Source organism: Homo sapiens, chromosome 17 (assembly GCF_000001405.40).
Source record: "Homo sapiens chromosome 17, GRCh38.p14 Primary Assembly".
Classification (NCBI taxonomy): Eukaryota; Metazoa; Chordata; class Mammalia; order Primates; family Hominidae; genus Homo; species Homo sapiens.
The window spans coordinates 29,797,265-29,810,631 of record NC_000017.11 but is presented as its reverse complement, the minus strand read 5'-3'; the positions used below and the strand labels follow the sequence as shown (position 1 = coordinate 29,810,631).

At 38.9% G+C, this 13,367-nt stretch overlaps 1 protein-coding gene across 9 annotated transcripts in view, besides 1 other annotated feature; it reads left to right on the top strand.

Moving 5' to 3' along the window:
• The window catches only part of SSH2 (slingshot protein phosphatase 2), a 304,291-nt gene that overhangs the window by 119,597 nt on the left and 171,327 nt on the right, over positions 1–13,367 (top strand). The window lies entirely within an intron of this gene.
• Positions 528–587: an enhancer, noted in NCBI's record as "active region_11987". NCBI's record gives its function as "activates an Ori minimal core promoter by ATAC-STARR-seq in GM12878 lymphoblastoid cells {active_cell/tissue: GM12878}" and the evidence as "EXISTENCE:reporter gene assay evidence [ECO:0000049][PMID:35858748]".

Below are 13,367 nucleotides of genomic sequence, written 5' to 3'. Positions count from 1 at the left end.
AAGGTAGAATTTCAAGTCAGTTGGGGAAAATGGATAAATAGCCAGGTAGTGCTGTAATAACAATTAACTATTTGGGGAGAAAATTAAGTTAGATAGCTCTATCTTCAACCATATACCACAATAAATTGTAGATGAATTAATGAACTATTTTCTGGGAAACTTATTTAAATATGCAAGTTAAAAAATAGAAGCTATAAAGATTGCTAGATATGACTATCTAAAATAAAATAAATAGAACCCACTTCTAAAAGCAGATGATGATGATTAGTTCCCTAATTTATGATTATTATTGACAACATTGACCCATTCATCTTTGTTTCTATGAGAATTCTGTTGTGCAGTCTCTAAAATGGTTGCGTATGTGAAAATGTGGGATGGCTATAGCTAAGAATATTCTTGTTTGAGGAATTACTATCTTTTTGTATTTTAAATCAGGGTGTTTGCAGACTGAATCTACATTATAGAAAATGGGGCACCTTGGTTGGAGAATCTGTCCTACAATACTTGTTCTTTCTTTTACATTAGTCATTTATTCAAAATTTTTATTCAGCATTGCTAGGTGCTGAGTATACAGCAGTGATCAAGAGACAGTTCCTGCCTTCAAGCTTATAATATGGAGACCAACAAGTAAACAGGCAGTGTGAGAATTGCTACACTAGAGAACTGTAGAGGGAGTATGGTTGTATTTGGAAAGACCGTGGAACCCAGTCCTAGAGGGATCAAGGAAGGCCTCTGGAGAAAGGGACACCTAAGTTCCAATCTAAAAGATAAGTAGGGCTGGTGGGGTGGCTCATGCCTGTAATCCCAGCACTTTGGGAGGCCGAGGTGGAAGGATTGCTCGGAGCCAGGTGTTCGAAACCAGCCTGGTCAACCAAGCGAGACCCTGTCTCTAAAAAAAATTTTTTTTAATGAGCTGGGCACGGTGGTGTGTGCCTGTAGTCTCAGTTACTCAGGAGGCTGAGGTGGGGGAATCTCTTGAACCTAGGAGTTCAAGGCTGCAGTGAGCTATAATCACACCACTGCCCTGCAGTCTGGGCTTCAGAGTTAGATTTCATCTCATGAATGAGGGAATAAAGGATTAATAGAAGTAGGCAAGCAAAAGGGGGAATGAAGGGTATTCTAGGCAGAGGGAACAGTAAAGTCTGAGACAAGACGGAGTGGTATGTTAGAGATACTACAAGACTTTAAGTACAGCAAAATTCACCTGCAGTTGAAGTGTACCTATATCTGAAACTAAATGATATCATTTTGTAGGATATGGGTAAAAGAAAATACTTGTGATACTAACACTGGTGAGGAGTAGAGGAAAATTAACTTCCAGCTAATGGCAGTCTATCAAGCTACTAAATAGGATTGCTTTTGCATATTTATTTATTTAGAGACAGAGTCTCACTCTGTTGCCCAGGCTGGAGTGCAGTGGTGCAATCTCAGCTGACTGCAACCTCCGCTTCCTGGGTTCAGGTGATTCTTGTGCCTCAACTTCCTGAGTAGCTGGGACTACAGGCGTGTGCCACCACGCATGGCTAATTTTTTTATTTTTAGTAGAGACGAAGTTTTGCCATGTTGGCCAGGCTGGTCTTGAACTCCTGACCTCAAGTGACCTGCCCGCCTCAGCCTCCCAAAGTCCCAGGATTACAGACATGAGCCACCATTCCCAGCCTGCTCATACATCTTTTTTTGACAAGAGATCAAAGCAGAAAAAGGAGTTTATAGTACTTTACAAAATCTAGCCTTAGCCTCTCAAAAGTTTAATGAAATTCTCAACCTTTTTATTTAGTTGTTATCATTCACCTTGTGTTCTAGTTAATGAGAACTGAAGGCTCCTACCAACCCCCACTCCACCATATAACAGCTCCTCAGCCTGCTGAGGCAAATGCACATATCAGAGTCTTTGTCTAGTGGCCTCACCTTACCTCTGACTTTAAAGGGATAAAGAACTTCCCCAGTTGACCAAAATGAAAAGGAAAATCTAGATTGAAATTATGGTCCAGATAGTATACACATAGTTAGACATCAACTTGGGTGGTGGTTAGGATGTGCCTGAGATGAGTGGGGAAGATTGAGGTAAGATAGTCAGTGATGAGTGCTGTTGTTGGCATTCCAGATATGCCTACCACATATAAGCACATGTGGCTGTCAGCTGAGCCAGACTCCCAAAGTATAACTTTTCTACTGGTCTATTTTGCAATTAAGAAGCACGTTAGGCCGGCTGTGGTGGCTCATGCCTGTAATCCCAGCACTTTGGGAGGCCGAGGCGGGCGGATCACCTGAGGTCAGGAGTTCGAGACCAGCCTGGCCAACATGGCGAAACCCCGTCTCTACTAAAAGTACAAAAATTAGCCAGGCGTGATGGCGGGCGCCTGTAATCCCTGTTACTCAGAAGGCTGAGGCAGGAGAATTGCTTGAACCTGGGAGGCGGAAGTTGCAGTGAGCCGAAATTGCGCCACTGCACTCCAGCCTGGGTGACAAGAGCGAGACTCCGTCTCAAAAACAAAACAAAAAAAGAAGCATTTTATACCACAGAAAGATTTTCTGTGAAAGACTGATCTGCTAGCTAAAGACTCTGTCCAAGTTTGAAGGCACTGAAAATGGTCTTTAAACAAAATAATTTTCTCAGAATTTTCTATGAATGCACTGCTTTCTCCAGTTCAACCACAGTGTAAGCTTCGACTCGTCTGCCCTCTAGTGGAGGCCCATAGTTAAATTAGCAGTGTCACTGGCTTTGGAAAAACTACCTAACTTTTCTCGATTGGCTTTCCAAATTGTAGTGTTTCCTAAAAAAAAAAAAAAAAAAAAAAAGCCATCAAAACAACATATTTATAATTTTCTAAGATGCTAATAAATACCTTCCCTGGCTACCTCATAGGATCAGGTTCAAAGTCCTGTCTCCTGCAGCTTATCTTTGCAGCCTACCTTAAGGAAAGCTCTGGGTTTTAACTCAGCTAGTCAGTTCACTGCCACTCCAAGATGTCAAATGTATTTCTACTGCTCTTCCCTTTTCTTCATCTCTCTTCTGAATTCCTGTGACATGTACTTCCTGTGCCATACATTTATACTGTATATTTTGGAACAACTTTTCAGATAAAACAGGCAGATGAACTCCCCTTCAGGCAGATGAACTCCTTGAGTATGGTACTGTTTCACACTTTTCTGTGTCCCCTATAGACTCCAGCAGCTCTCAGTGAGTATATTGATTATTTGCTGTTCAGAGATATTCAATATCCTCTTTTCCTCTATTGATAGCTGAAAAGGTAATTGTCTAGATTTAAATATAAATAGTAAAATATTAACGTAGTAACAATTCATTTCCCCCTAATGAAAACTGTCTTAGCAGTATACCTACATCTTAAATATTCTAATTTCTTTTTTACTTGGGCCACTAACTGTATTTCCCTACTTTGTAGTTTGAAAGTGATTTTAGAAAGTTTGAGAAAATTATGCTGTTCATTTAGGAGTATTTGTTAAGTAATCGGTGTTGCTTCATTATCCTTCTTTACATGTTCTTCGTCCTTATTTCTAGATAATGTTTCCTTTTGTAACCTTGGTTAGTCCTCTTGTTCTTTATATCCATGAACAATTAGAATGTTTAATGCTACAAGAAACATAACAGATGGATTTTATTTAGCCTCTTCCAGGTGTTATGAGTGCTTCTCATTGTTTAAGTTTCTTGTGGAAGCGTGGTAATCACGTGTAGCAGAGGCCTGGTGCTAAACCCAGATGCCAGGCTAAGCAATTGGTATAGCTGGTAGGACAGACGAATAAGAAAACATATATGGGCAAAAGAGGCATACAGGTAGGATCCCCCAGGTGAAGCTAAGATCACAGTTAAGAGTTTTAAACCAAAGTTTAGAGAACAGAAGAGATGTGGCTATAAGTAGAGGAGGAGATATTCAAAATATTTCACAACTAGTATGGTATAGCCATCAACCAATCAGAAAAGATGGGAGCAAGACCTGGACGTCCCCTGCTGCACTAGGCATTTACCTGGTTGTGGCTGGATCATGACACACTCAGAGGGGCTCCAGGCAGTCACTATTTCAATATTTTAACAGTTAGTACAGCTGTATCAGTATGTATTGGCTGAACATAAGACTCTATGTCCATATTGAGGGCTCAGGCTACAATGAAGGAAATGGACCAAGTGTGGGGTCTTCAGAAAGTGGGATCTGGAATTTCACCTGAATGGAAGGGAGCAGAATCTGGAGCATTCCTTTAACACAAGAGGAGCAACCTGTTCTGGTAGAAGGTGTTATTTGACCTTTTCAGACAGAATCCTGACTTGGCTGTGTACTCTTAGGTTACTTTGAGCAAATTATCTCACTTCCATGAGGCAGATTCATCAACTGAAAAATAAGGCTATAATCATACCTACATGGCATTCATTCCGGAGTGGTTCAAATGAGACAATAATCATGAAGAGACTTTGTTGACTTTTCTGGTTCTGGCAAACAAGAGAATGACACAGAGGCAGAGTCTTCTTACTATCTTATGATGGGTGCCGCATGCTGTCTGCCCCATATTTAAGCACTCATCTTGGATTGGCAAACCAAGTATATGACTAATAACTTAATGGAGGAAAAAAGTACAAAATATAGTGAAATTAGCCTAAGTTTATTTCTGGTTTTGCCACTTACTGGTTGTGAAATCTTGAACCACATTTATTAATTTGTCTAATATCTACTGAGCATCTTCTGTATGCTTAGCACTATAAAAACATAGTCCTGCTCTACAGAGCTTACAGTCTAGGAAGGGAATTTTTTTTTTTTTTGATAGCTGAGTTTCTATGATCATACTGCTCTCCTTGGTTACCTAGCACAGGTACCTTGAGTAGGCAGAGGCTATGTGTACCCTGGGCTTTTTGATGTTGTTTCTCCAAACCTTTAAGCCAAAGGTTTTCAGTCTTAACTGCTTATCAGTTATCTACAGAGCTTTTTTAATGTACTGATTCCGAGGCCCCACAACTTGTTGTATGCTAGTAAATGTTTAAAAGCCTGTTTTCTAAGCAGGGGCTCATGTGTGGCATTTGCTGATTTTGCTGATAAACACATCCGCCTTGGCTACCGACGTGTCTCACAAGGTTCCTAAAAATGTAACAATTGTTATCTAACAACCTAGCCAGCTCCAGCACACCAGCGGACCAACGTCAGAGCTAAAGAATAAGAACTTATAGGCATGAGGGCCGGGCATGGTGGCTCACGCCTGTAATCCCAGCACTTTGGGAGGCTGAGGTGAGCGGATCACGAGGTCAGGAGTTCAAGACCATCCTGGCTAACATGGTGAAACCCCGTCTCTACTAAAAAATACAAAAAATTAGCCGGGCGTGGTGGTGGCACCTGTTGTCCCAAATACTCGGGAGGCTGAGGCAGGAGAATGGCGTGAACCCGGGAGGCAGAGCTTGCAGTGAGCCGAGATCAGGCCGCTGCTCTCCAGCCTGGGCAACAGAATGAGACTCCATCTCGAAAATAATAATAATAATAATATTAATAATAATAATTTATAGGCATGAGGCCTGGAGCTTTTTGTTACTAAAAAAGTTCTAAAAGGGACCCAGAGGTAACCAGTGACTTGTGAAGTTTCCATATTGCATGCCTGTCAGATGTGACAGGTTCAGAACACTGTAAGACTTATTGCCTTTTATGGCCAGGTGTGGTAGCTCATATCTGTAACCCTAGCACTTTGGCAGGCCGAGGTGGGAGGATCACTTGAAGCCAAGAGTTCGAGACCAGCCTGGGCAACTTAGTTAGACCTCATCTCTTCCCCCTTCAAAAAAAAAAAAAAAAAAAAAAAAGCCAGATGTGGTGGTATGCACCTATAGTCCTGGCTACTTGTGAACTCATGAAGGCTGAGGCGAGAGAACACTTGAACCCAGGAATTTGAGGTTATAGTGAGCTATGATCGTGCCTTTGCATTCCAACCTGGGCAACAGAGCATGACCCTGGCTCAAAAAACAACAACAACAACAAAGACTTGTTGCTTTCTAAAACCAATGAATTTGATCTCTAGTGATAGAAAAGACTGTATAACAACTCTGAAATTATCACAAGTGGGTGAGTTAGGTTGCACACATTAAATAACTTTTTAAAAAGTGGAATAAGGATTGAAGACAAAAGACATCCAGTAACAGTTTCACATCCAGAGCTCAGATTTTTCTATAGGGCATTGACTGGACTGTGATGTCTCTTAAATTAGCTGTTGTCCAAGGACTTTTTTTTCTTTAGAATCAAAGCTATTTCAGCAAAATTCTAATCAAGCTCGCTTTCTTGTTGCTGACCATCCTGACTGTGATTCACACCTATTTGTATTTTAAAGGAGTTTAAAAGAAACACTAGAGAAATAGTAGGTGTCTCACAGAGGTTTTCTATTGCTTGAAAATTATAGGGAAGAAAGTTTGTTTATTTAAGGTTTCTTAAACCCTGTCATAATATTAATAGGAGCATGATGTGACTTTGATTTTAATTGTAAGTATTCCAGGATCCTCTGACTTTGTTTTTACTTTAATGCATGTCATATCTCTATAAAATATGATTAAATTGAATCTCTGATTCCTGATTCCAGCCAATACTATATATCTTGATCTAAATTAGACTTTAAAACAAGGTCAGATTATATGGGAACTACTGATTTGATCATGTCTGAGCCTCTTCCAAACCAGCTTTCTCAGATTATGAGTGCCTAGGTATTCACTCTGGTCCTGGACCATACTGTGTGTCTTTACTGCCATGCTTGCAGGTCCTTTCTTGTCCTTAGCCTCCCAATAAAGAGAACACTTCTTTATAGACATTAACCTGTAAAAATATCCATATGGCCTTCAGTCCTCCTTGCACTGACCTAAGAGTTAGCTGCTTTGCCCTCCTAAATAGCTCTATGGCCCTAGGCTTTAGGAGCTCTACTTCATTCACTGTCATTAACTACCTGTTTTTCTGTCCTGTTAATTTTGTCTACTTATTCAATTAATCACCAGGGTCGAAAGATGGCTGCAAATTCTTGTTACTTCTGCTATTGTGCGAAGGGAATCTAATTCCTCTCACAGATTCCTTGAATCTGTGTTGGACTTTTTTGGTACACCAATAAAGTGTGGCAGAAATGACACTATGCCAGCTCTGAGCCTAGCCTTTAGGATGACTAGTCCTTTTGGAGCCCTGAGCCATTATTCAAGAAGACCAACCCTGAGGATACCATGCTTTGAGGAAGCCCAAGATAAATTAGAAATCATGTTTAGGCACTCCAGTTTACATTTCCAGTTGAGCCCAGCTTTCCACCCATCTAGGCTATGACATTAGACATGTGAATGAAGCTGCTTAGATCCTCCATACCAGCTCATATGCTAACTAAATATCACCTGAATAGCACTGAATGACCCTTAGCAATACCATGTAGAACTGAAGAATCACCCAGCCAAGTGCTGCTTGAATTTCTGACCCATAAAATCATAAAATATAATAAAGCAGTAATTTGTTATAAAGCAATAGATAACCCAAACAGCTGTTTTTTCTGTTTCTAGCAGTGGATCTAAGCCTTCTCTTTCAAGTGGCCAAGTGGCAGACCTGATGCCTTTATTCCTCCTCAAGCCTGTGTGTTTTATATCTGCTTTTTTCAAAAGCCAGAAGCATGGCATTATCTCTTCCAGTTTCGAAGCACATATGTCTCTTAGAAAGACTACTAGATTCCTTTTTCCTGTCTGATAGATACCTCCTACTATTCATTTATTTCCAAGGGCTGAGGTAACTGATGGATAATCTGATATCCAGTGAATTGACAATTCATAACCATCTTTTCTGATCATAGAACTGTTATCTTGGAATTTCCATCATTGCAGACTCATAACAGTAATATTACTTGATAGCCTTAACCCCCAATACCTGTACCTTTGCTTGAAAAATCCACAGCTGCTCACTCTTCCCCAAATTTATCAGACTCTCATTCTTCTACAGTTTTCAGCTCTTTTGCCTGTTCTTCTCCCTGAAATACTCTTACTTACTTTTTTTTTCTTTTCTTTTTTTTTTTTTTTTTTTTGTAGAAACAGTGTTTCGCTATGTGTCCTAGACTGGTCTCAAACTCCTGCCTCAAGGGATTCTCCTACCTTGGACTTCCAAAGTGCTGAGATTACAGGCATGAGCCACCATGCCTGGCCAATACTCTTATTTTCCATCTGACAAAAACCCACTAGTTCAAGCCCGGCCAAAAAATTAACTTTTGTGAAGGATTTCCCAACACCATAGTTAGTCACTTCTTCCTCTGTTGCTTCTATAACATTTTGTATGTCCTTTTGCTGTAGGCCTAAATGACATATCGTTATAATTTCTGTTTTATGGAACTGTCTCCCCCACTACAATACTAACTGTTTAAGAATAAGGACAGTTGTGCTTACTTTCATTCCCTGGTGCCTAGTATCTAAAACATAATAGGTAGTCAATGAATGTTGAATGAATGAATGAATGAGAATGAATGAATATATAATTGAGAGCAGATGGGCTGGGTGCAGTGGCTCACACCTGTAATCCCAGCACTTTGGGAGGTTGAAGTGGGAGGATTGCTTAAAGCTAGAAGTTCAAGACCAGCTTGGGCACATAGCGAGACCTCATCTTTCAAAAAAAATAATATGTTTTAAAAATTGAGATCAAGTAAATGATTCTGTCTGCTTAACCAAAAGGATAGTCTTTGGGTAAGGTATTAAGGTATTACTGCCAGATCTTAGCCACAGGCTACTCCTGAGCAACAAAAACCATTCTTTTAACCTGGTAAGGCTAAAATGTAACTGGCATAGAGTCCTTACTAGCAGAAAATGTATAGCTAGTTAGCTTCAAGCATTCACATGGCATTAGTTAGCTGCTCCAGTCACTCATTCGACCCTTTATTGAGTTCCATCTGCACATAGGGCATTGTGCTAAACACAGAGTGAGATGCAAAGGGCAATGAGGCATAGTTCCTGCCCTTAAGGAGATTACAATCTGATGATGGGAGATAAAACAAGTACCCAGTTGTAACCCAGAAACAGAACTGGTAGTGTCGCAAAAATGATGCACAGCAACCGTTAGGTTTGGAGGGAGACAGAGAGCATCAGTCAGGTGATAAAAGAAATGTCACAAACTACTAGTGTTTGAAACTAGCTTTGAAGACTGGAAAAGAATATAGGAGAGGGGAGAGGGGCTTTCTAGGTTGATACAACAGCATGAACAAAGGAAGTCAATAGGTACGTTTGGAGAATGATAAATGAGATGACTTGGATTGGAGCAAATAGAAAGTGTAAAGAATCTTGAATGATAAGATTTGGGAAAATATTGCTTAACACTCTGCTAGCCCAGTGTTCAAGGCTGACAGCATCTCCCTCCACCAAGCCTACTTCTCAGCAAATATTACTTCAGTGCTTCTATATTTTCCAGACATATTTTATTTAGTGACCTGTTTTTATGATCAGGTAGTAAACAGATTAATAAGAATGCATTAATCTTTCAATTAATACTTAATGGAGCCAGGCATGGTGGCTTATGCCTGTAATCCCAGCACTTTGGGAGGCTGAGATAGGTGGATCACTTGAGGTCAGGAGTTTGAGACCAGCCTGGCCAACATGGCAAAACCCCATCTCTACTAAAAATACAAAAATTACAGGGGGTGGTGGCAGACACCTGTAATCCCAGCTACTCGGGAGGCTGAGGTATGAGAATCGCTTGAACCCAGGAGGCAGAGGGTGCAGTGAGCCGAGATCGCACCACTGCACTCCAGCCTGGGTAACAGAGTGAGACTCTGTCTCAAAAAAAAAGAAAAAAAAAAAGAAAAAAAGACTTAATGGTTCCTGAACACCCTAAAATTAAATGTAATACCTTACTGTTTCTAGGTCAATTTTTTCTTAAGAACATAAGAAGTAATTATACTCTTTAAAAGCTATTTAACAATAGGGCTCTTGGAAATTTGATCATAAAAAAGCCAACAAATATTTAGTCATTTAATTATTAAATTAATTAAATGTTTAATTAATTAAACATTTAGTAATTTATTTAATTATTTAATTATTTAATTTAGATATTCTCGTTATGTATCAGAAATTATTCTGTTCACTAAGAAACTAAGAGCTGTCTCTACACTTTTCTCCTGGTAATTTCCAATGTTTTGAAGAGATTGACTGGCATTTTTCAGTAACAATGTGTGAAGTTACTTGACAAGAAAGGCTGTTATATCTGGTTTCTGCACTTGTTAGAATAGAATGGTAAGCATTCCACCTTCAGCTACCATTTGAATGCTATTGTTCAAGATAACTGCATTACCCGATAGTTACTCTTATTAAATAAGAAATGTTGTGTCTTTGCTTTTTTGGCGGTGAATTCTGCTGAAATTAACATAATTGAACATTTTTTTCATTCCTTTTAAATCCATTTTACCCTAAGACCTACAATGCTTTGATATGCTTAGTTTTTTTTTCCCTCAAGTTTTTTTTTCGAAGTAAACAGAAGGGAAAGCAAATTATTCATTTGGCTGGCTATTGAAACATAAAGAAAGAAAAAATTATTTGGGGATCTTGTGTTAAAAACACTGTTCTGATTTGCTTTTTGGGGGAGCCAAAGGAATTTTCTACGCTTTTGGCACTACTTTGAAGTGTAGAAGTCATAGAGGAAAGATGCAAAGGATATTACTTTATTAAAAGCCATGAAAAAAGATATTCCTTCTTCTTCAGCTCCCTCTGAATTGCCATCTTGGGTTATAAGTATCAAAGTAAGATTTTTAGTTTAGATGCAGCTGATTATAGCAGAAAGATAGACCCACGTTCAAATCCTGACTCCACCATTTATGACCTTGAATAAGTCCCATAGGGTGTGGTACCCATTCAGTGAAACAACATATAAAGTACCTAGCCCATCGTAGTACTCAATAAATGTAGTTCACCCCTGTAGACATAACTGGTTTTGGCTGCTTGTGCCCTATAAGAAAGCATCAGGGGTGTTTTTGCTTTTTACTTATCCACATATTCTCATCACAATTCTCATAGGTAGAAAAATCCACCAAAAAACTGAAAATAATTTGAATTATCCTTCTTTTGGTGTGCTTATTTTAGAAATAAGGGCAAGGCTATGAAACTAGTAGTAGCCCATAAACCTATGAAAGGATGCCCAACCTCATTAGTTAATCTCAAGACAAAGCAAATTAAGACCATAATGAGATAAAACATTAGACTGGCAAAAATAGAAAACATCTGATGATCCTGTGTTGGCTAGAATTTAGATCAACTAAAACTCTTACTCTTTCTGGTGAGAGTATAAATCAGTACAACCACTTTGGAAAATAATTTGGTACTATCTTGTAAAGTTGAACCTTTATTTACTCTATGACCCTGCAGTTTCACTCATAGGTATATATACTGTTGATATATTTTGCATGTACACCAAAAGACACGTACAAGAATGCTGATAGCAGCATTGTGTATGTCACCAAAAAAATAGAAACAATCTAGTCTATGTAAATAGAATGGATAAACTATGATATATTCGAATTTTACCCCATCAAAAATGAGTGAACTATAGCTATATGTAATAAGTAGATGAATCTTTTCAGGATAATATTTAGTTTTTAAAAAGCATATTGGGAAAACTACACACAGTATAACACAGTTTTTAAGCCCTCAAACAATCAAAAATGAGTAATACATTGTTTAAGAATGTAGGCATATGTAATTTTTTAAAAAACAAGGGAATAAATAATGCAAAGAGGTAGACCCAATAGGCAAGTTAAAACAAAATTCTAAAAAATATTCAAATAATACCAAAGAAGGCAGAAAAGGTAGAACAGAGGAATACAAATACAGGCGACAAACGGAAAATAAATAGTAACATGGTGGACACAAATCTAACAATATCAAAAATTATATTAAATGTTAACGTACTAAACACCACAGTTAATGGCAAAGATTGTCATAATGGATAAAGTAAGGTTCAAATGCTGTCTGTGGGCAAAAAGCAACAACCAGTTTGTACCTCAATTTCTTCATTCCTAAAATGGGATAATTATAATGCTGTCTCACATTTGTAGAACAGTGTTAGTGTAGAATAAACACTCAATGAGGTTATGTAATATGCATAACGATAATAATCATAATGGTTATGATGTTCTTTCTGTAAAAATTCAAATATGCCAAAAATATGGCCTATTGATATCTTTAAAGAGACATTCTTTAAAATATAAAAGATTGAGCTGGGCACGGTGGCTCACACCTGTAATCCCAGCACTTTGGGAGGCTGAGGTGGGCAGATCACGAGGTCAGGAGTTCGAGACCACCCTGGCCAATATGGTGAAATCCCACCTTTACTAAAACTACAAAAATTAGCCGGGCACGGTGGTACACGCCTGTAATCTCAGCTGCTTGGGAGGCTGAGGCAGGAGAATCGCTTGAACCCAGTGAGCCGAGATCCCACCACTGCACTCCAGCCTGGGCAACAGAACAAGACTTTCTCAAAAAAGAAAGAAAGAAAAAATGATAGAATATGTTCATGACTAGAGGGTAGGCAAAGGTTTTTAAGAACCTGAAAACAATAACCATAGGGGAAAAGAATTGCCAATTAGAGTTAAGTTATAACTCTCACGCATTGTTGATGAGGGTATAAAGCGGTGTAAATGCTTTGGGAGAAGACCTGGCAATTTTATATGAAACTATACATGCCTCTGTCTTGTGACCCAAAAGAAATAAAAACTTATGTCAATCCCCCCCAAAAAAAAACTTCACAAAAGAATATTCATATAATAGCTTTATTTATTTATTTAATTTTAGAGTCTCACTCTGTCTCTCAGGTTGGAATGCAGTGGCGTGATCATAGCTCACTGCAACTTCAAACTTCTGGACTCAACCGATCCTCCCACCTCAGCCTCCAGAGTAGGACTACAGGTGCCATGTCTGGCTAACTATTTTATTTTTTTGGTAGAGACTGTGTCTTGCTATTTTGCCCAGGCTGGTCTCAAACTCCTGACTTCAAGTGATCCTCCTGCGTCAGCCTCCCAAAGTGCTGGGATGACAGACATGAACCACCATGTCTGGCTAATAACTTTGTTCGTGATAGGCAAAAACTCAAATATCCCAAATGTATCCATCAATAAGAGAATAAATAAATGAACTCGTATATTCATGTGATGGAATCCTCAGCGATAAAAAGGAATGAACTGCTATTTTATGCAACAACGTGGGATGAATCTCGAAAACATTATGCTGAATATTTTTCAAAAATCTTCCCATAAAGTAGTACATAGTATATAATCCCATTTAATGAACAATGGAATCATATCCTGTGTACTAATTTTTTATGGCAAAAATCTGTGGTGGAAAACCAGAACAGGGTTGCCTCAGGAGTGGGTGGTGCCACATTTTGACTGGGAATGGCTGTGAGAAAAAT